The 24,588-nt window shown below is 32.8% G+C and overlaps 1 protein-coding gene across 12 annotated transcripts in view; it reads left to right on the forward strand.

Annotated features, from left to right (window-relative positions):
* LRRK2 (leucine rich repeat kinase 2) overlaps positions 1 to 24,588 on the forward strand; it is a 144,289-nt gene that overhangs the window by 62,103 nt on the left and 57,598 nt on the right. For 10 of the 12 annotated variants that reach the window (XR_007063041.1, NM_198578.4, XM_005268629.5 and 7 more), the window contains 12 exons: positions 252 to 440; positions 6,446 to 6,564; positions 7,746 to 7,815; positions 8,328 to 8,545; positions 11,144 to 11,394; positions 12,010 to 12,158; positions 15,690 to 15,783; positions 16,849 to 17,035; positions 18,686 to 18,867; positions 21,368 to 21,597; positions 22,007 to 22,134; positions 23,332 to 23,550. Coding sequence is in view for 11 of the 12 variants with exons in the window: in NM_198578.4 (NP_940980.4) it covers positions 252 to 440; positions 6,446 to 6,564; positions 7,746 to 7,815; positions 8,328 to 8,545; positions 11,144 to 11,394; positions 12,010 to 12,158; positions 15,690 to 15,783; positions 16,849 to 17,035; positions 18,686 to 18,867; positions 21,368 to 21,597; positions 22,007 to 22,134; positions 23,332 to 23,550 (2,036 nt within the window). In the remaining variant the exon portion in view is untranslated. Of the gene's footprint in view, positions 1 to 251; positions 441 to 6,445; positions 6,565 to 7,745; positions 7,816 to 8,327; positions 8,546 to 11,143; positions 11,395 to 12,009; positions 12,159 to 15,689; positions 15,784 to 16,848; positions 17,036 to 18,685; positions 18,868 to 21,367; positions 21,598 to 22,006; positions 22,135 to 23,331; positions 23,551 to 24,588 lie in introns of those variants that run through there. The other 2 variants (XM_017018787.2, XM_011537882.4) reach the window with 2 other exon arrangements.

Below are 24,588 nucleotides of genomic sequence, written 5' to 3' on the forward strand. Positions count from 1 at the left end.
ATAAAGTTAGTTCCATAGAGATTCAGTTTTGCTGTCTACATGAAAGCATTGTGTACATGGTTATGTTTTTTTAAAAAATATATGATCTGCCACCTGTTAATTATTCAGGATCACTAGTGTAAGGTGACTTTGAAAGGAAAAATAGAAATATTCTCCAGAAGCATAGCAATACGTAAGAACTTTGGTCCTATGTATGTTTATTTTTGCATAATTGTTGATTTCTAAGTTGCTGGTGTATCTCTTATTTTCAGATATAGCATCTACACTAGCAAGAATGGTGATCAGATATCAGATGAAAAGTGCTGTGGAAGAAGGAACAGCCTCAGGCAGCGATGGAAATTTTTCTGAAGATGTGCTGTCTAAATTTGATGAATGGACCTTTATTCCTGACTCTTCTATGGACAGTGTGTTTGCTCAAAGTGATGACCTGGATAGTGAAGGTATTTATTATAAAAAAAAACCCTTTATGCTTTATATTTACACACTGACATTGAACAATAGGACCCAAGACAAAAACCTGACCTAAATCATCTGGAAAAACTTGAGTAGAAATGTGTTTATTATCGCAAACAGTTAAGTTTACTAATTTTGGTTAAAGTGATGGGTCAAGGAAGTGTGTCTCTGTGCTTCTAAATGTTATACTAATTGGTTAATGGTTAATATTCCAGGAAACAAACTCTGACTAGACTGGAACGAGATTCCACGCTCTGTCATTGACTAGATCCTTTCGTGGCTTGTGTAAGCCCCTTAACCTTGTTAAAGGTAGTAATGTCGACTTTGCAGGGTTATACATAATAATTAGAAAAAATGTATGTAAAATGTCTGCAACAATGCTTGGCAAACAGGAAGCGCTTAATAAAAAAGGTTTTTATCTTTACTATAGCTTAAAACAATATTAATATTTTAATAGCTCACTTGAGATAACTTTTTAAAAAATTAATATGGTGAAATATATAATGACAATGATTAGGGCTGATGTATTTAGCATTAGCAGTTTGGTAAAAATGGAGTGAGGGGCTTTCTTATTAATATAGTATGATTGAAAACACTGGGTGATAGAATAAGGATATTTGAGAGGGCAAAAAATGAGAGTTGTTCCAAAATATTGTGTCTCAAGTCAAACCATTTTTAAAAATCAAGTGTAGTGATTTATATACATATATAATTTATATAAAATAAAATGCATTCACTTTAAGTATATATTTTCATGCGCTTTGAAAATTAACATATTCATGTGGTCATTGTCGCTATTAAGTTATGCAATATTTTCATTATCCAAAAAAGTTTCTTCATGCCTCTTCACTGAAAACATCCCCTTCCCCTGGCCCCCCTGACCCTTAGCAATCATTTGCTTCCTGACAATGTAGATTAATGTTTTCTCTAGTTTTATATACATAGGATCATACAGTGAGTACTCTTTTGTGTCTGTTTTCCAAAATGATTGTACTATGTTCTACCCCCACCAGCAGTACATGAGCATTCTGGTTGCTCTACATCCTTGTCAGTACTTGGTATTTTCAAGTTACTTTTAGCTGTTCTAGTGGAGGTTTAATTCATTTAGATGTAATTTTCATTTCCCTGATGACTAATTATGTAGAGGATGTTTTCATGTTCTTATTGGCCATTCTTATTTTTGTGTGAAGTGTTGAAGTATTTTGCTTTTAATTGGGTTGTCTTATTATATAAGAGTTCTTTGTATATTCTAGATAGAAGTTGTGACAGGTATATGTATTGCATATTTTTTTCCCAGTCATAGCTTGTCTTTTCATTTTACTAATTCTATTTTTAACAAAACAGAGGTTTTAAATCTTGGTGAAATGCAGTTTTCCAGTTTTTTTCTTTTATGGTTTGTGCTTTTTGTATCCCACTTAAGAAACCTTTTCTTAGCCTAAATTTGTGAATATTTTCTCCCATATTTTCTCTTAGAAGTGTTAAAATCTCAGCTTTGGCATTTAGGTCTAAAACATTTTAAGTTGATTTTTGTGTGTGGTGTGTCAATGAAGAGTTGACATTTATTTCTTTCTGTATGGATATCCAGTTGTTCCAACATTACTTGTTGAAAATATTATATAATTCCTCATTGAATTAATGGAAGCTTTGTTCTCTTTAATTGACTATTTAGGTATGGTTCTATTTTAGCATTATTTATTCTGTGCCACTGATTTATACCTTATTCTTATGCCAATACCACACTGTCTTGATTACTCTAGCTTAATAGCAGTTCTTGAAATCAGATAGTGTAAGTCCTCTGGTGTTCTTTTAAAAAAAATTGTTCTTATTATTCTAGGTTCTTTGCATTTCCATATAAATTTTTAATCAACTAACTTTATGCTGGGATTTTTATTGTAATTAAGTCCATATTTAGATTTTATATAGAATTTATTTATAAATTAAATCATATTACCTATGATTTTAATGTAATCTATAATATATAATTAATACATAAATAATAATTTATATAGATTATATCTATAAATTAATTTGAGGGAACTAATATATTAATAATGAGTCTTTTGACATATTAATGTGATATATAGTTCAATTAGTCTTTTAAAATTTCTAACAGTGTGTTGTATTGGATGTTTTCTGATACTATTATAGATGGTATTGTATTTGAATTCTAATTTCCAGTAGTTCACTGTTGATATATAGAAACATAATTCATTTATTTGTACATGAATTTTGTATCCTGTAAACTTACTAAGCTCACTTACGTGTTCCAGTACCTTATTATAGATTCTACAGGATTTTCTTTGTTCACAATTATACCATTTGGTAATAAAGACAGATTTGCTTTTTCTTTTCTAATATTTATGTCTTCTTTTTTTTTCTTGTCCTATTGCACTGGCTAGGACCTCCAGTACTATGTTGAATAGAATTGGTCAGACTGGGCATCATTCCCTGGTTTCCAAACTTAGAGGAAAAACATACAGTCTCTAATCACTAATTATGACATTATCTGTAGTTTTTCATAGATGCCCTTCATCAAATTGAAGAAGCTTCTTCCTAGTCATTTTTGGAGAGCCTTTTTTTATCATTAATAGGTGTTGAAAAATGCTCTTCAGCATCTGCTGAGGTATTCATATTTTTCACCTTTATTTTGTTAATATGGTCAAATACACTGACTGATTTTCTAATGTTAAACCAACTTGCATTCCTGGAGTAAATCTCACTTGGTTATGGTACATTATCCTTTTTATATAGTATTAAATTTTGTTTTCTAAATTTTGTTAAGAATTTTGCATCTGTGAGAGATATTAGTCTGTAGTTTTATACTTCCTTGTAATTATGGGAGTAATGCTGGCCTCTTGAAATGAATTGGGAAGTGTTTCCCATTCCACAATTTTCTGGAAGAATTTGTGTAAAGGTATTTTCTTCTTAAATGTCTGATAGACTTCACCAGCAAAGGCCATCTAGGTTTTAAATTTTTGTGAGGAGGAGATTTAGAATTATGAATTTAATAACTTTGATAGATGTATGATTATTTTAATTTTCTTTTACTTCTTAAGTCAGTTTTAGTAATGTGTAACTTTCAAGGAATATGCCCATTTCATATAAGTTGCCAAATTTATTTGTTTAATGTTACTTATAGCAATTATTTAATTATCCTGTTAGTGATTTAATTATCCTGTTAATCTCTTCAAAGAATCAGATTTTTGTTATATTGATTTTCTCTATTGTTTGTGTTACTTTCTCACGGACTTTTGTTCTTATCTTTATTGTTCCCTTTTCCTTACTTATTTTTATTTTAATTGACTCTTTTTATAGATTCTTAATTTGGAAGCTTAGAACACTGGTTTTTAGAACCTTCTTATTTTGTAACAGAAACATTTATTTAAGGCTGTATATGTCCTTATAAATATCACTTTCACTGCATCCCAATATTTTGATGTGTCCTCTTTCTATTCATTTAAAAAAATTTAATTTCCCAAATGTCCAACAATGATAGACTGGATTAAGAAAATGTGGCACATGTACACCATGGAATACTATGCAGCCATAAAAAATGATGAGTTCATGTCCTTTGTAGGGACATGGATGAAGCTGGAAACCATCGTTCTCAGCAAACTATTGCAAGGACAAAAAACCAAACACCGCATGTTCTCACTCATAGGTGGGAATTGAACAATGAGAACACTTGGACACAGGAAGGGGAACATCACACACCAGGGCCTGTTGTGGGGTGGGGGGAAGGGGGAGGGATAGCATTAGGAGATACACCTAATGTAAATGAGGAGTTAATGGGTGCAGCACACCAGCATGGCACATGTATACATATGTAACAAACCTGCATGTTGTGCATGTGTACCCTAGAACTTAAAGTATAATAAAATATATATATATATATATAAATTTAATTTCCTTTGTGACTTCTTTGATTCACGAGTTATTTAGAAGGCTGTCATTTATTTTCCAAATATTTGGAGATTTTCTGGATAACTTTCTGGTTATTGGTTTCAGTTTGACTTTTTTGTGCTCAGATAACCTACTCTGATGATTTCTATCCTTTTATATTTATTGAAACATGCTTTATGGATTATCATATGGTCTGTCTTGGTGATGTGCCATGTGCAACTGAAAAGAAAGTATATTCAGCTGTTATTGGGTCAAATCAATAGGCCAAATTGTTTGGTAGGATTTCTCAAGTTTTCTGTGACTTCACTGACTTTTCTTTCTATTTATTGTATTTGATAGAGAAATATTGAAGTTGTAATTGAGGATTTGTTGGTTGCCTTTTCAGTTTTATCTGTTTATGCTTTGTATATTTTGAAGCTCTGTTGTTTGTTGTGCAAACATTAAGGACTATATAACAAAGGACTATATATAAAAATAATTTTTTAAATAAAGTAACCACTTTATATTAATCTAAGTTTGCAGTTAGTATCATTTTCTTCCTCTGGAAGAATTCCCTTTTACATTTCTAGCGCAGATCTTCCAGAAACCCATATGCAGATTACTGGAGCACTTTTTCCATAACTGCCCCAGAACTCCCAGCTATCTCAGTCTCCATAAATGTTGATCTCTATCTCCTCATCTCAGGAAAGCCATGAGACTGTTTAAATTTCTTCTTATGTATATGGCCCTTAATTTGTCTCTAAGCAGAAGGCCAGAGTGATCATAGGGCTCACATAATTTGTTTCCCTTCTTTCGGGTATTACATAGTCCTATGCTGTCTGTTGCCCAGTGTCTGTATCCAGTCATTTAATATATTTATCCAGTTTTCTTGTTGTTTATGTGAGTAGGTTAAGTTCACATTTGTTACTCTATCATGCCTGAAAGAACTCTCTTCAAGTATTTTTCAAGAAAACATTAGAAATTTTAACATAAAATAATTATAAAATGCACTATGCTGCTTGTACAAATAATGTGCTAATAGACATTTCACACACATATAAAGTGGGATAATTATGATAATTTAATAATCTTTATAATTATGTAATTGTTACTAAATTATAAATTATATTTTATTAAAATTCTTAAGCATTAAAATAATTTAAACTATAGAATTAATTAAACTTTAGCAATGAACCAGGCAGGAACTGTTTATATCAGGATTTATACTGAATATTATAAGGGTGGTATTTGGATATACAGATTTTATAATTTGGTTTTGACATAAAATGAATTCTTTCTTTTTCTAAGATAAAGAGTAGGGGAATTTAAAATCATAATTAATTTTTCACAAATGCATTCACATTATTTATCTTTAATATGATTTTTTTATTGATCTTTGTTTTCTTGTAAATTTATTATTTTGAAAGTACTGCCTTTTCCTTATTTTATAAAACAATTATTGCCAGCCAAATTTATTGTGTTTATTTTAATACCATTCCATAAAAGAAACCATGAAACATGAAATTCAAATAGAAATTTATTAAAAATTGCTGACTGTTAAATAATTTGTGTGATTACAACATTTAAAGCAAGATTTGAAAAATTTATAAGAAAAATTCAGGGAGTTAATCCACTCTCTTTCCTATGCTGCTAGACCCTATTCCAGCGGTCTCCATAAAAAAAATTCAGAGAAACAGAAAGCAGTAACAGTGATCAGATTGCATACAAACTTTCTGCACACACATATATTTGTTATAACTTATGTAACCGTTGATTGATTTGGCTTTTTCCTGCTGGACTATGAGCTCCTCTGAGGAATAGATTTATTTTTTTTCTGCATATCAGTATCCCGTGCTTACCCAGTGTCTAGTCTGTAACAGCCATTCTATAAATATTTATGGGTGAAGAAAAATGTTGTTGAATTTTTAAAGTGAAAAACCAACATGGCTTATCATCTCTATTTTAAAGATTTTACAAAGGGAATGGACTGTGAAATTTCCATTAATAAAAATAGGTCTAATCTTCCATGATTGAACTATGATAGAAGGATCTTATGATTGAGTAAGCTTTTTGTATTCACCTTCATGTTATTTTATCATTTTCAAAATAGGAAGTGAAGGCTCATTTCTTGTGAAAAAGAAATCTAATTCAATTAGTGTAGGAGAATTTTACCGAGATGCCGTATTACAGCGTTGCTCACCAAATTTGCAAAGACATTCCAATTCCTTGGTAAGTTAAATTGTGCAATTGTGATTATGTTGTGTTTTGCTGCTGACATTCTCTTGATAACTAAAATTTATGCCAAAGCTAGGAACAATTGGTAGGGATTTCCCTGATGTATGAAAACTATAATTTTGAGATTTTTATATATGTAATAGATATGAAAACATATTAGATGTAAATTATGCTCAATTCACATTTGTAGTCTTTTGAGTATGCAGGGTATGAATTTTTTGGGGCACATATATATATATATATATACTTACAGTACACTTCAAGATGGTTTTCTTCTTTCTTTTCAGAACTCCATGTCTGAAAAGAGCCCAGGCTAGACCTCTACCTAATGGTGTGGGTTGGTCCCATGAACACTTTAGCTAGAAATCTGATAGTGATTTCTAAGAAACCAGACAGAAGTCTGAAGGACACTGAACAAGATGGAGTAGCATAATATAATTCATTGTTCATCTATCTATCTATCATCTATCTATCTATCTATCTATCTATCTATCTATCTATCTATCTATCATCTATCTATCAATCATCTATCTATTTTGGTGTATTGAAAGTCATTTAATTTTTTAGATACCTTTATTATTATTTCAACCTCTTGTCTGTTTTGGAACTATGGAAGGACTATGGCATATTTGCATGAGGAGTCTGATAATTCTAGTTGAGGAAATTGGGAGCCACCTTATTCTCAGGTTCACTTTGAAAGACCTGTTCTAACCTATTCTCCAATTTTGATTATAGCTGAGTACTAAAAATATGAGGGTTGTTTTGTGTTAATTCTAGATCTTAAGATGGGTGAAATGAATGACTGTAGTTGAATCGGTTAAATTAGCTGTCAGTCTTTATATGCTCTTTCGAATTTATATATAAATTTAGTTATAAAAAGTAGTTTGGTTAATGAGAAATTATATGGATATAGCTTTTTCACTCAACCTTTCTGTTTTTCAGTTTCCTTATATTTAAAACAAAGGAGAAAGAGTAGATGCTTTCTAAGGTCATTTGAGCACTGAACTGGAGTTTTCTTTTATCCTCATAATTGGGTTCTTAGTTTTTACTTGCCTATTTTTTCCCATAATTATAAATACCATTAACCCTATTAAAATTTCATGGTTCCTTCCTTATAAAAATGTCCTCTTCTCCAATAAATGACAGCAATTTTATTATAAATTATTTTTTAATAGGGGCCCATTTTTGATCATGAAGATTTACTGAAGCGAAAAAGAAAAATATTATCTTCAGATGATTCACTCAGTAAGTATTTGGATGTAATCATAAGTAAATAGATATTTTGGGCAGAATGCAGTGTTTGGTTGAATTTCCTCCAATTATTCAAATATTCTTGGTGCCAGTTTCATCTTACATAATCTTCATATATATTTACCTAATGATTCCTTCCATAAGCTATAGAAAAATGAAACATACATTTAAAAATTTACCTTTCTTGAATATTATAGAACACATTAGTCTTTTTTTTTACAAGTTTTCTGAAATGTAAATAACACCTCCACCAAGGCCACTCTTCATCCTCTCCTCCAGTTTTCTTTCTTTCTTTTTTTTTTCACACCACTTACACCACCTGATTAAATGCTTTTTATTTACTGTTCATCTCTGCCACTGGAATGTAAACTCCATAGTTTGGTTTTCTACTGAATCTTCAGTGCCTTGAAGAAAGCCTGATTGCTAGGAGGTGCTCACTAAACTTTTACTACATGAATTTAAATTATTTGCTTATATTTCCATTGTTTGTTTGTTTTTGACAAAAGGGTCATCAAAACTTCAATCCCATATGAGGCATTCAGACAGCATTTCTTCTCTGGCTTCTGAGAGAGAATATATTACATCACTAGACCTTTCAGCAAATGAACTAAGAGATATTGATGCCCTAAGCCAGAAATGCTGTATAAGTGTTCATTTGGAGCATCTTGAAAAGCTGGAGCTTCACCAGAATGCACTCACGAGCTTTCCACAACAGCTATGTGAAGTAAATTTAATTTATCCTTGTAACTTTCAAGACATTTGAAGAGCTTTTGTATTTATATCTAATTTGCATAATTAAGTCGTTTAAAAGAACATTCTACTTTTGTGTCACTGGGTGATAAGTCCCCCGTGCCTCTGGTTTTTGCACACATATCTTAGTCTGTGTGATGTTCAGGAGCATCTTTGAGGGCAGGCAATGGAAACAGATCTGATTAGAAAGGAATTCCAGGTTCTGTACGGAGTACATGTTAAAGTCTGTCAAGTGTATATTGATTATACTTTAATCATTTAATTCAAGTAAGACAACTTCAACAATTTAAATTAGATTAGGTAAACTAGAATTAGACCTGGTTTGGTAGTACTGGCTCTGACTCAGCTACCAACTGTGTGACAATATGAACATGTCACTCCGCCTGCTCTAATCCTTCATTTTCTCATCTGTGAAATAGAGATTCAACTAAATGATTACTGAAAGTTTTTTTTTCAGTTTAAAATAATGTGTAACTTAAAGATTTTTTTCTTTTTGGTCAAAGTTCCTGTCTTGTAAGAATTAAAGTATAACATAGTTTGTTGATAGGATAGCTCTCTGAAAATTGACTTTGCTCACCATTTGTATGTACTACAGATCAAAATAGTTTTGAAAGCCAAAGAAGATATCATAAAAGTTAAAATTATTTTAATGCAAATGTTTAAATTGTTAAATTCTCAAGGCTGGGCATGGTGACTCATGCCTATAATCCCAGCACTTTGGGAGGCTGAGGCGGGTGGATCTTTTTGAGTTCAGGAGTTCAAGACCAGCTTAAGCATCAGCAAAATCCTGTCTCTACCAAAAATATGAAAAATTAGCCAGGTGTGGTGGGGTGCACCTGTGGTCCCAGCTACTTGGGATGCTGAGGTGGGAGGATTGCCTGATCCTGGGAGGCAGAGGTTGCAGTGAGCCAAGATCGCACCACTGTACTCTAGCCTGGGCAACAGAGTGAGACCCTGTCTCAAAAAAAAAAAAGTCTTGTTGCAAATGCATTTCCCCCTTTTTAAGCCTAAAAAATTAATCATAATTTTGAGATGTTTTAAAGGCAACATTACATAAATTTTAAGTATATTTAAGGGATGTTTTTTCTCTAAAGTTTTTATATCTGGAGACAGAGAGAAGAAAGAAAGGTGACCCACTCCTCCAGCCATGCCCTAATGTCTAAAATGTGTCTTTCTCTCTTCTCCACTTCTTTGCCTTGCTAAATACTTCAAGCCACCCAGGGCTCAATTTAACTGTCACTTCATCACTCTCTGCTTCTCTTCCTTTTTCCTTCTACCCTCCAGCCAACCTACCCACCTAGCCTCCATGTCCATAACACCTGATGCTTTCCACCTAATTCTCATTCGGTCATCCAATTTGATTTAAAATACCTTTGCCCCCACTAGACTGTGAACTCTTTGAGGACAGGACTTGTTTCAGGCTTGTTTCTGTCTATTCCCAGTGCCTAGTGAGATCTGACATATGGTAGAAGTTTAGTACTTACTGAATTGATTTGTGGAGGAATAAATGTCTGAAACTTGGTAATCCTTCAATTAATATTTGTTAAATGAGCAAGCAAAATAATTTTGGGATTTAGTCTAGTTAAAACAAAGAGAATTGGAAGAGACTGTGACAAGGTGAGACATGCCGGCATTCAATGACTGGACAAGCTCAGAACCTTCTCTTAGGGAAATTTCAAAATGACACCATTAGATGGCACTTTGTTTGTTTGTTTGTTATTGTCAAAGGGTCTCATCTATGTTCCTTTTATAGGAACATTTCCTGATTAAACCTTGGGAATAATTTTAAAATCTTTACTTCAGAATAAGTTAATGAGGGTCTGAAACAAAAGCAGGAATTTTGAAACAACTTCTGGGGCTAAGAGTGGTTAATAAGCCTCTATAATGATATCAAACTCTAGAGTTTCTCGTGTGGATAAATATATTGATAAATAAAGAAGACCATAGAGAAGTGATTGATTTTGGTATTTTAGCTCTTTGAGAGTATTACGTACCTAAGTTTTAAAAAATTGACATAATGTGTAAGTAGGGGTTTGCTATTATCATTATAAAATTAGAAATTGCTTAAAAATAGAAAGTAGAAATTTGAAACAAAAAGTTTCGTAAAAAACAGGAGGTTCTAAAATGAAACACATTATAAGTAACTATTTTTATAGTTAAATCTTAAATATATCAAAATATGTAAAATTTCTGACAGCATTTAAAACATATTCCCAGGATTATATTGTACTTTTTGTTAAATCATTAATTCAAATATTTGTTGAGGCGTATTCTGCTTCCATTTTGCTCTTTCTGGAAATAATTTACAAAAAAGCTGAAGGAAGCTTTCAACTCTATTTTTGTGAACCTGCTTTTTACAATCTACCTGTTGTAATTTTCCTGGTTTTACCCATGCTACAAGCAGAGACGATTGGGCCAATTAGTATACTGAAATTCTGTTGTGGATTGTGTTTTCAACTTTTTGAAAATTCTTGATGGTTCTAGTTACCAGAGGTGTGTAAGGCAGAAATATTAGCTAGACTTAAGTTCCTCAGATGGTTCACTTTAGAATTTTAAACTATTGTCTTTTCAGACTCTGAAGAGTTTGACACATTTGGACTTGCACAGTAATAAATTTACATCATTTCCTTCTTATTTGTTGAAAATGAGTTGTATTGCTAATCTTGATGTCTCTCGAAATGACATTGGACCCTCAGTGGTTTTAGATCCTACAGTGAAATGTCCAACTCTGAAACAGTTTAACCTGTCATATAACCAGCTGTCTTTTGTACCTGAGAACCTCACTGATGTGGTAGAGAAACTGGAGCAGCTCATTTTAGAAGGGTAAGAAAGAGCTCATTAAAAATAAAAGGGTTGCCTAAATATGCTGATGTTAACAAAATATGCTGACATTTTTATAGCAATGAGTTTTAACAACATGGTGAAACTCCATCTCTACTAAAAATACAAAAATTAGCCCAGCGTGGTGGTGCGCACCTTATAATCCCAGCTACTCAGAGGCTGAGGCATGAGAATCGCTTGAACCCAGGAGGCGGAGGTCGCAGTGAGCCGAGATCGTGCCATTGCACTCCAGCCTGGGTGACAGAGGCGAGACTCTGTCTCAAAGAAATATATATATATATATATATAATATATGTATTATAATATATAATACATATATTATATATATTTATTATATATAATACCTATATATTATATATATACTATATATAATACTTATTATATATATACTATATATAATACTTATTATATATATAATAAAAGACCGAGGCAATGAATATTACAACTTTTATCAACTGACTTACATTTTTACAACTAATTTTTAAATTAATGAGTCCTCTTTGATGCTGTTCTTTGAAAGCAAATTGTTTTTGATATTTTTTCTTTAAAGCATATGAATTTATGCAATTTAATCATTATCTTGTCTCTTGTGACTAGAAATAAAATATCAGGGATATGCTCCCCCTTGAGACTGAAGGAACTGAAGATTTTAAACCTTAGTAAGAACCACATTTCATCCCTATCAGAGAACTTTCTTGAGGCTTGTCCTAAAGTGGAGAGTTTCAGTGCCAGAATGAATTTTCTTGGTAAGTGTTCTGTGTGGGTCTCCTCCTTACCAGGCCCTCTAAGTTGTACAAGATGAGTCATATATGGACCCTTTAGTTGTGGATTTAAAAGTGGCATTTCAGTTTAAATATTATGCTGGATTTAAAAAATAAAATTAGCAGGTTGGCAATAAAACAAAATGCTATAAAACTATGAAAAGACATGAAAGAAACATAAATGCATATTGGTAAGTGAAAGAAGCCAATCTGAAAAGGCTACATACTATTCGTTCCCAACTATAAGACATTCTGGAAGAGACAAAATTATGAGGACATTAAAAAGATCAATGGTTGTCAGGGGTTAGGGGAGGGAGAGATGAATAGATAAAGGACAGAGGATTTTTAGGGCAGTGAAACTGTTTTGTATACTATAGAGGGGGATATGTGCCATGGTACACTTGTCAAAACCCATAGAATGTGCAGTATAAAGAATGAACCCTGATGTAAACTATGGACTTTGAGTGATAATGGTGTGTCAAATATTGGCTCATTGATTGGAACAACTGTGCCAAACTAATGCAAATTGTTAATAATAGGGGAAAATGTGTGTGGGGTGGTGGTGGTGGTGAGGGAAGAAGGGATTTATTGAAAGTCTCTGGACTGTGTGCTCAATTTTCCTGTGTATCTAAAGCTGCCCTAAAAATAGTCTATAATTTAAAAAAATTATCACATTTTTATTGTCAGAGGTTAAAATGATAGTTACTTGGCCTACTGTGTAGTACCCTGTGGTTCCCTTTAGTCTTAAACTAAACATGCACATGGCTGCCTGAGCTGGGTAAGGCATCCTGATACTGAGATATTGTTTTTCATACTGAAGTTTCTTCAGCAACTTTTTGTATGATAAATATGATTACTCTTTGCTGTTGTTAGAAATAAAATTAATCATTTAATGGTTTTCAAATTAGTGAAGTTAATGTATATTCATTCAGCTCTTGTGCTTTGCAAGACATTATAATAATGCAAATTATTATCATCACTTTTATTAAAAGTTGTAGAATCCCCTGCCTTCTCTTAGCATATGAAATAATAGAGGAAATTATGTTCATTTGTATCCTAAATGAACATTTTAATTTTAAGGAACAAAATACTTTTATGACAATAAACAGGAATTCCCCATATTTTATCTTCCTTCATAGAGAATACTCACATCTTGCCACCCATGTGTTTATTCTATACCTGACTCAGTAAAATAATTTTTAATTCTATTTAATAGCAGAATATGGCTTAACTACTTATTAATAGTATTTTAATTTGTCAGAGCTTTCAGAAACTAATAATGATCAAAGCCATCTTAATTTGGATAGTATTTTCCTCCTTTTCCGCGCCCTCCCTTCCTCCTACCCTCCTGAATATTGGCCACTTTCCAACCATGATCTTGAAACTGGGGATAGAGTTGTTGACTCACTCACTAGTAAGCAAAGCAAACTCGGTCTCTGTCCTTAAGGAACTTGTGATTAAGTTCAGAGCACAGACAAACATTAAGTAATGATGGCATAAATAAATGTAATTTTATATTGTGGTGCCTTCTGTGGAAAAGTTTCAGGATGCTCTGTGGTACCTCAGGGGAATCTGATTCAGACTGTGGAGTCAGGAAAGCATTTCTGTGCCTGTGACATTTAAGTTGGGTCTGGAAAGAGGAGCATCCAAAAGGACCTTGAAGCTTGTGTATGGTCAGTGTGTCATCTCAGCTGAATCTCACAATGATCCTAATGGTCATACCTAGGACAGGTATGACCTCTGCCCAATTGAGGAAATTGAAGCCGTGAGATTTTTTGTGTGATGCTTACAGGTGCATACAATTAATTATCTTGTTGTGAAAGTTTGAATGGACCCCAGTTCAAAATCTGTTTGCTTTGCACTACACAATCTTAATAGTTTGAGAAGTGGTCTTACATTTGAGAAGATGCCCCATGGAGGTGACATCTGAGCAGGACCACTAACCATTAAAAAATAATCCCATGTAAATGGTGAAACCCTGTCTCTACTAAAAATACAAAAATTAGCTGGGTGTGGTGGCGTGTGACTATAATCCCAGCTACTCGGGAGGCTGAGGCAGAAGAATCGCTTGAACCAGGGAGTCAGAGGTTGCAGTGAGTGGAGATCAGGCCACAGCACTCCAGCCTGGCGACAGAGCAAGACTCCGTCAATCAATCAATCAAACAATCAATAAATCCCATGTAAAATAAAGTTTTAGTTCTGTGGCCTTATGAGTGTTTTCCATACAGCATATGAAACTCAAGACTCTGAAGTCTTAAGTGGAGAATCATTTCGATTCATTTATTTTGCGAATAGGTGAGGTATAATAGCTATCTTTCTGCTTCTCAGGAAGACAGCTTCTAGGAGTGTCCTGGAACATTTTGACCCTTGAAGATTGTCTAGATAAAGAATAACCCATATTTTTAACCTTGAAAATGCTAATAACTAATTCCTCAATCCGTTTTCCTAGAAACGGTAGATTTGTAGATCTCTCAAGTGTCTTAGTGTTCATCTGATCTAGCTACACTCTTTTACAGATAAGAAAAGAGACTGTGTGATTTTCTGTTTCCCAAATTGTGTTTCACAGAATTTTATTTCTTGGAGGTACCTCATACTGCATTTCCTTCTTAACAATTCATAAAGTAGGCCAGGCACGGTGGCTCATGCCTGTAATCCCAGCACTTTGGGAGGCCGGGGCGGGCAGATCACAAGGTCAGGAGATGGAGACCATCCTGGCTAACATGGTGAAACCCCATCTCTACTAAAAATACAGAAAATTAGCTGGACATGATGGCACCTGCCTGTAATCCCAGCTACTCAGGAGGCTGAGGCAGGAGAATCTCTTGAACCTGGGAGGCGGAGATTGCATTGAGCTGAGATCACGCTACTGCACTCCAGCCTGGGCAACAGAGCGAGACTCTGTCTCAAATAACAATAATAATAATAAAATAATAAAAAATAAAAAAATCATAAAATATACCAGAGTATTGAGAACTCAGATATTTTACTTTATTTTACTGAATGTTTCCCAATCTCTTAAGATTATATGATCGAAGAATACTTTTATTAAATAACACCCATTATTATTCCATAGAACACTCTTTATGAGCTAGTACCATAAAGAATTTTTGTCCTTATAATATACTGTATTTTAGTAAAGTGTTCATAGTTGTTTTGCTATAGTTATTTAAGAGTAATTCTAGTTAATCTATATGGTATATAATAACATCACACATAATTTGAAATGAATATTCTAGGAATTTTTACTTTGTACAAATGTTGGGTAGACAAATTTATATTTAAATAGCTGTTTAGCTTCCAGGTTAAAAGGTTCTGGTAAGTATAGCATATTATTTTATTGTTTAGTGGAAGTATTAAGGCTATTACCTTATTTTTAAAAGTGGATTTTTAAAAATTGTCAGTGTGAGAATGGAAATCAAATTAAGTGACACACTATTGGTAGCTGTTCTTATTTTTGAATTTAATGGAAATCTGGTTAAAATGATTAAAATGTTTATCTCATTTTTTTTCTTTTAGCTGCTATGCCTTTCTTGCCTCCTTCTATGACAATCCTAAAATTATCTCAGAACAAATTTTCCTGTATTCCAGAAGCAATTTTAAATCTTCCACAGTAAGTTTATTGTTATTTTAATTTTAAAAGCACATTAGCTGGAACAGAACCTTTAGAAACATGATTTCGATTTAGTCATATAGAGGTAATTGATTTCTAAACCTACTCAACTTGATGTTTTTGTATGTATGAATGATTTTCACTAGATAAAAGACCCAACTCATTACTTAAAATGGAAACTTTTATATTTATTTAGTGGATCATTGTGTAAAAACAACTTAAGATTGTTTAATTAATTGCTGTATTAGTATAATGAAATGAGATTATACTGGCTATCACTTTAACTTTTAAAATTTTAATTGTTTGTGGAACTTGATATGTTGCCAAAATACCCTTAACTTTCACATTATGCTTAAGTTATGTTTGAGTGAAATTTTGGGGGAAGATTAGGCAAGTTTATGTAGTTCCAGGTTTTTGAGATATTTTGGTTAATTCATGAAACCAGAAGCTTCCTGTTAACTTTAAATTCAGGCATTAATTGGATCTTGAGTGTGTTGTAATCTTAAATGCTATTCTAATTATATCATACATGATAAACCAAATTCATAAAAATATATGTGTAAATTTATCTTTTCCTTTGTTTTCTTGCTGTCAGCTATTCCTTCAAACACTATGGCTTTTTAGAATTGACACTAAAATGCTGCTTGCATGATGCTGCAATGAGCTCTTCTGTGAGCTTATATTTAGGCAAATAATAATTAGAATTTAGCCATAGAGAGTGTTACACAAACCTATAATAGCTAAATTACGTCTAGCTTTAGAATGTGTTTAACTGTTCTAACTACTCTACAGCGGTTCATCTCTTTAATCTTCCTAATAATGCCCTACGATAGCCACTGTTATTATCTCCACTTCATAAGAGATGAAGTAACTTGCCCAGAGTCATAGTTCTTAAACACTGGTGGTTCAACTTCAGGCTCTCAAATCACATGCATACTCATATGTCAATAATGCTAGTTTTGACGTTACACTTTATTCTCACCCTGGGGAAAATTATTTGTGATGTTATTTCATGTATTTTGGAAATACTCATTTGGTTTATGTCTTTTCTGTGTATTGTTTTAGCTTGCGGTCTTTAGATATGAGCAGCAATGATATTCAGTACCTACCAGGTCCCGCACACTGGAAATCTTTGAACTTAAGGGAACTCTTATTTAGCCATAATCAGATCAGCATCTTGGACTTGAGTGAAAAAGCATATTTATGGTCTAGAGTAGAGAAACTGCATCTTTCTCACAATAAACTGAAAGAGGTAAGACGATTATTGCCACTTAAAAAATATACTTTATGATTTGCATCATTACAAATTATCATTTTAAGTGATATTTAGCTTCTAAATACCAATTTCATGAAACTAGAAGCTTCCTGTTAACTATAAATTCCTGTCAACTATAAATCCAGATTTCCATTAAATTTAAAAATAAGAACAGCTACTAATGATGTGTCACTTAATTTAATTTCCATTCTCACACCGACAATTTAAAAAAATCTACTTTTAAAAATAAGGTAGTAGCCTTAATACTTCCACTAAACAATAAAACAATATGCTATACTTATCAGAACCTTTTAATCTGAAAGCTAAACAGCTAGATATAAATTTGTCTACCCAACATTTGTACAAAGTAAAAATTATTAGAATATTCATTTCAAATTATGTGTGATGTTATCATATAACATATTATAGATTAACTCAAATTATTCTTAACTGTTACTTAACTATGACAAAACAACTTAGAACGCTTTGCTAATACACAAGATAGTATAAGGATAAAAATTCTTTATAGTACTAGCTCATAAAGAGTGTTCTATGGAATAGTAGTGGATGTCATTTAATAACTATAAATTCAAAATAAGCATTGTAAATATCAATACCATTCAATTTTTTTTTGTTTTTTAAACAAGTTGTAAGCCTACCCTATGGTAAATGGATATGGTAACACAGCATAATTTCCTCAAAAAATTACTTTTGTGATATACTTTTAAAGGATTATATGAATATATACATAATTATAGATGAATGTGATGCTGTGTGTCATTGTATCACCAAATCTCTGTCCAATCTGTTAACAGACTCTTAAATAAACCATTTTTCTCAAGTTGTTACTGGCCTGTATACTGTATTACTTGTTTTTCAGCTTTCCTTGGTACATTCTTAAATTTCTGCATTCCGCCACCATGCTATCACCCTAATGGATCAACCTTTTTTGTTTTGCTCCATTCTCTCTGTTGTAAATCTGAAATTGATAATTTGTTTGTCTCAGAAAATATTATTTTTCAAGTTCTAGCGTATTGCCTACAAAAACCAAAAGAATTAAGTGTCTGACACTGTGAGGTTCAGCAAAACTGTGCATATATTTTGCTACCTGATTTTTTGCCAGCAAATGAGTGTTTTCTATTATAAATATAGTATATATTGCTTAAAAATTTGGAACAGAAAAGAAATTACTCCAATTAGGATGCCACCTAAAGTATAAGCATGTAGCTGTACTTTGAGAACACTAAATTGCATGCAGGTTTGTAGTGACTAGGTCTTCTTGCCTTTACTGAAGGAGCAGAATGAAGTCACAGATAATGGATAACCAAATCCATTTTGTGGTAAGAACTTCCTTACTTTCAATGTCTTGAAGAGATGAAGTATGTTACCAAAGGAGATTGGGTTTTTTAATATTACAGATGAGTGACATAGATTGTTTGGGAGTAAGTTTTTATATGTAAGTTTTTATGTTTTTAAACACATACTGACAACTTATGACAAACCTTTGGAAAGTTTTAAAACTCTGTTGAAAGGTTGTGCAAGCTGCTGATGGAATCTGTGAGCCTTTCTTGTTTCTTATCACGTTTTTTGGCAGAGCACATTTCTTCCTTCCCACCAACAGGTTTTGCCCTTTTTTTTCCCATTAAGATTCCTCCTGAGATTGGCTGTCTTGAAAATCTGACATCTCTGGATGTCAGTTACAACTTGGAACTAAGATCCTTTCCCAATGAAATGGGGAAATTAAGCAAAATATGGGATCTTCCTTTGGATGAACTGCATCTTAACTTTGATTTTAAACATATAGGATGTAAAGCCAAAGACATCATAAGGTTAGATAATTTTTTTCTATTTGGTTTTACTAAATTTATTTCAGATTTTCTACTCTCTGTGACTTTGATGGACATATATTGTTACTATTTAGGGAAAAATAAATAGTAATATTTGGCATTAATATGCTGTGTGTCATTTGCCTTTCATTTAATGAATGTGTTTCTGTGGTGCCACTGTAGAGATTTCTCATTCTTCTTAGCCAGACTAATGTTGAGAGCGGCTTCTCCTCCTTCTGTTTCTTTTCAGTGGAGTAGACTCTAAAAGAAAATAAGTATTGCTATTTGGTCTCTGGTTACCAATTACACAATCTAAAGAAATACAGCACAGTATAATAACTTCTCACACTGTATTTCATATAGCAACTAGTTAACATATGCCTCTTACATCTTAAAGCATTATAGCTACTGACATCATGTGAAATTACTAACTTCTATTTTGCCCATTAGGATGAGTAATCTACTCACCTTGATCAGTTTTGAAAGCACCAAAACTTCTCAAGTATCACTGTTTCTGGTCTTTACACTTTAAGCACTTTAAATATCTTTGGTAATGGATTTTATCCTCCTTTTTGTTCCCTTTCAGCACATCGGTCTTATTACTTTCTCATAAAATCCTTTGCTCCCTTTTCCACAGTTACTGTATTAACGTTGCAGACCTCAGCTCTGTCATCACCTCTCAACTTGACTGTAATATCCACCAAGGCAGAGACCATGGCTGTGTTCACTCACTATTCAAATCTTGGCACCCAACACAGTGCCTGGCATACAATTAATAGTTGTTTAATTACCAGTGATTTATACTTACTCATTCTCTTCTGCCTAAAATCTCTTAAATTTATATTTAACTTCATCTGTTTTTATGAGGAAGGATTTTGTTTTCTGAACTCCTGAGCTTGATTTCATTTTAAAGGAGTTTGTTATCTTTTGTGCTAATTGTGGCTACCCTTCATCCTACCCAATTATTTTTCTCTCTTGAAACTGGAAAAGATGGTCATATAAAAATTGGTTCAGTTCTTACTAAACATTTAGTAGAACTAGCTTTCAGTGTATTATACTGTATTATCTAACTAAATATTTTTAATATTTAATATTTAATTTAATATATAACTAAATATTTTTAAACATGTTTAACATTTTCAGAAAAGACAGAAAGACCTAGAGCAGATTAGAAATTGTAGGCATCATTTGCTTTTTGAAGAAAGACATTTTTTCAAATAGTGGTGCATTCTTAAGAAATAAATCAAGAAAGGTAATGTTGCTTTTTGGTCATATCATCAGGAATGTTGGTCAGATTCTTATTAGTTACAGGAATGAATTGATCACTACTCTGATGTAAAATTCACTTATGATTTAGTCTTTTTCTCTAATTTGAAACTGTGGCAACATTTTAACATATTTCAAAATATATCTTTCTCTATCCATTATATTTTTGATAACACTTTGACTCTACTATTAGTTTAAAGGTGGTTTTTTAGCTACCTAAACACTTCTATTTCATTCAGGTTTTACATTAAGATCATTAGGAATGAAAGCTAACATCTGCTGATAGTATAATAGTTTATATTTATTTATGATGTTATGTGATCTCACTATCCATATATACTATTATATGCATATGTGATATACATGAATATATAGCTATACATCATATATACCATATATGAATATATACACACACATATATAATGTAACTAATATGACCCTATTATCAAGCTTTAACAGTATACATATATCTCTACCTTGTTTCTATGTCATATGGACTTTGTGAAATTTTGAACTTTATAATTTATAGGGTTTTTCTTTTCTTTTCTTTTCTTTTTTTTTTTTTTTTTGAGACTGAGTTTCACTCTTGTCACCCAGGCTGGAGTGCAGTGGCCTGATCTTGGCTCACTGCAACCTCTGCCTCTTGGCTTCAGGCGATTCTCCTGCCTCAACCTCCCAAGTAGCTGGAATTACAGGCACCTGCCACTGTTCCCGGCTACTTTTTGGATTTTTAATAGAGACGGGGTTTCACTATATTGGCCAGGCTGGTCTCAAACTCCTGACCTCATGATCCGCCCACCTCGGCCTCCCAAAATGCAGGGATTACAGGTGCGAGCCACCGCACCTGGCGTATAATTTGTAGGGTTTTTCATACTATTTAAAGACATTAGAATATGTATACATGTATGTATATGTGTGTATATATAGAGGTATATATATATTGCATATCGTATTCTAATTAGTATTGCAAACATATTTTGGCCTTTTGATTATTTCTGGTGATAGTGTAACATGTTTTCTTTGGTGATTTTACCAAACATTATCAACTACCCTAAAATCTCTAGCAAAATATATGCATTAACAGTACTCTGAAAGACATGTACATTATTAGTTATATGAGATATGCACTCTTCTGGATACTATATTTTAGAATAGTGTGACATGTAAAAGAACTCACCTAAATCTCAAGTATACTTTTAAGCAGTTTATTATTTTATTTTTATCTTTCAAATACTAGGTTTCTTCAACAGCGATTAAAAAAGGCTGTGCCTTATAACCGAATGAAACTTATGATTGTGGGAAATACTGGGAGTGGTAAAACCACCTTATTGCAGCAATTAATGAAAACCAAGAAATCAGATCTTGGAATGCAAAGTGCCACAGTTGGCATAGATGTGAAAGACTGGCCTATCCAAATAAGAGACAAAAGAAAGAGAGATCTCGTCCTAAATGTGTGGGATTTTGCAGGTATTTCTTTCTATAGAATTTTAAAATTCACTTTTACCATTTGTTTGGAACAGGGATTCAAAAACTGAGCTTTCTGTTCTAATATCCAGAAACCTGGTAGACTGTATGGAATTATTCCAAAGCCCTTCATTTCTCCTAATTTTACCCTTGCCTCCAGAATGGAGAAGAACATGGAGGGATATGTTAGGAACAATTTGGTGCTAGGTACTTTGATCGGTTGCTGACAAATATGCTAAAAGTGGTCAATCCTAGTAAAAACCCAGAATAGTTCTCTAAACATGGTCTGTTGTTTTTCTCTTATTAGTATGCTAAATAATAAATAGTATTATTCTCCCAGATTTTTTTTTAAAAAAGGATTCTTGCCTGTCGTTTGAAAGATTAAAAAAATTTGTCTCTAATCTTTATTTAGGTCGTGAGGAATTCTATAGTACTCATCCCCATTTTATGACGCAGCGAGCATTGTACCTTGCTGTCTATGACCTCAGCAAGGGACAGGCTGAAGTTGATGCCATGAAGCCTTGGCTCTTCAATATAAAGGTGATTTGTTCTGATCATTTGAAAATAGAAAATAATTCATGTGTCTGTGTGCGTGTGTGTGTGTGTGTGTAAGTTAATTTATTTTGGGCAAACAATTGCTTCAGTCTCTTTAAATACTTTCTTAAAAGAAGCACTAAAATTTTGAATTGGGAAACTTTCCGAGTAATGAAGTCATAACATGAAAATTGTATGTTCCATGTTGGTGAATGTTATTGGTAACCTGAAACTCTTTTATGCTGTAAAACTTGAAAATATATATGTTCAACTGTTTTTTAATTATATTATTTCTTAAATGAAATCTAAATTTTTCTAATTTAAAATAAGCTATATTAAAGAAAAGCAATCTATATATATATATCTCATCAACTTTGTACTCAGGGGCCATTTAGTGTGAAATTCTTCAGATTGTATCCTTTAAGTGGTCCCAGATTATTATGCTGTTACATCTGGAATCTCCCTTTTGTTGCTTTTCTATCTTTTCCTTTGTTGTCTTGTTGTCAGCTATTCCTTCAAACACTATGGCTTTTTAGAATGGAGACTAAACTGCTGCTTGCATGATGCTGCAATGAACTCTTCTGTGCATAAAGTCCTTAAAAAGCTTGTGTCAGGACATTTAACCATGTAATTGGCTGCATACATGCTTGTTTTGTAATTTGGGTATTTTTTAATGTTTCTTTTATTAACTTTTTTACAGCTAGCCAACGTGAGCAAATAGTACAGTGGCAGTCATATTTGCTTGAGTGGCTTTTATTCTTTCATTGTAGACTCCAAATTGGTTGACTTTAAAACGAATTTAGAAGATTAAATTCACAGATAAGGAAGAGAAAATATAAACTATATGACGTTAATTTGATATAATTTGTGGGTTTATGAAATGCTTATTTTATTTAGGAGTGAATAACTCATCTTAAGGCATGAAGATGGGAAAGGAAAACTATACCACTACCGTTATATATGCCACCTAAAAGGGTGAAGAATTGGGTTAAGAAAGGCCAAAAATGACTTTTTAAAATGTCGTAAGGTTACATTTTTTTCTTAGGTTTAAGGAAAAAAGGACAGTTGTTCTTTTCTTCTTCTGAAGTCTGCTAGTTTCTCTTTTCCATTCAAGTGAATGTCACGGAAAGCAAATATCAACAGGAATGTGAGCAGGCCCAGTTTGAAAGCAAACACAAGAGGGTTTTGTGTCTTTCCCTCCAGGCTCGCGCTTCTTCTTCCCCTGTGATTCTCGTTGGCACACATTTGGATGTTTCTGATGAGAAGCAACGCAAAGCCTGCATGAGTAAAATCACCAAGGAACTCCTGAATAAGCGAGGGTTCCCTGCCATACGAGATTACCACTTTGTGAATGCCACCGAGGAATCTGATGCTTTGGCAAAACTTCGGAAAACCATCATAAACGAGAGCCTTAATTTCAAGGTAACATGGTAGGCTGGTAGAGAAATGTAATTTATTGATTCTCAACTGCCTAGAAATGTCAGAAATTTTGAGAAGTGAGCAACTCACTTAAAATTGTGGGTTTTCTTTCCTTGTTGCTGTTAGCATTATTAAAGTCCTTTCCATTTTAAAATTATTTATGCCAGACTTCATTTCTAATTCATAGAAATGGGAACAAAAAATAATTAGAGGAACCTGAGAGAAACTAAGAGACCGTTTCTGGGATACTGAGAAAATGTTTCTGAGAGAGAATCTGAGAAAATGTTTTTGATGCCTTTTCTGATTCAACTTCTTATAGTGGTGATTCAATCACAAGGGTAAAGGTGAATACTGAGGTCTTGGGATCATCTTTCTTCTATTATTCTTTAACTGTTATTTTTCCATTTCCTCTTTTCTTTTGGAATTCCTGTTTTATGGACATCTTGATCTTTTGTGCCACTCATTCATGAATTTTGTCACTGTGATTCCCATTCCAATTTTTTTCCCTCCGTATTGTGAGGCAGCTGTTTTATTTAGTCATGAAGACCACTAACTTGGTTTTCAGCAGTGTCTCACTAATTACTTAGTTCATACAAAATGGGCTTTTTATTTTAGGAATTATGTTTTAAATGTTTAAAGTTATCTTCTCGTAAGCCAAATTTTTATAAAATGTAAATAAATCAGTTATCAGAGAGAACACTTTTTTTTTTAAATACTTGGCAGAAAAAAGAAATCTTCACTGGGTACTACAGGGAGTGTGGTGTAAACTGTACTGAAAAATACCCTTGATAGTTCCATATGACAAACATAATGATGAATTTCACTTAGTCTGTCTTGGCTTAGCTCAATAGCACTAATGATCAAGATACTGGCTGATAAATAGAGTCCTATTTGGCCTGGGCAGTCCCAGCATAATTATGTAATAGTGTCCCACTATATTCTCAAAAGCATTCCAATTTGGATGATAAATTATATAGTCACCTTGGTTATAACTCCATGCTGGCCAGTTAGCTTAGTTCTGTTCCATTTATATAGATTATG

The sequence above is a fragment of the Homo sapiens genome, chromosome 12 (assembly GCF_000001405.40).
Source record: "Homo sapiens chromosome 12, GRCh38.p14 Primary Assembly".
Taxonomy (NCBI): domain Eukaryota; kingdom Metazoa; phylum Chordata; class Mammalia; order Primates; family Hominidae; genus Homo; species Homo sapiens.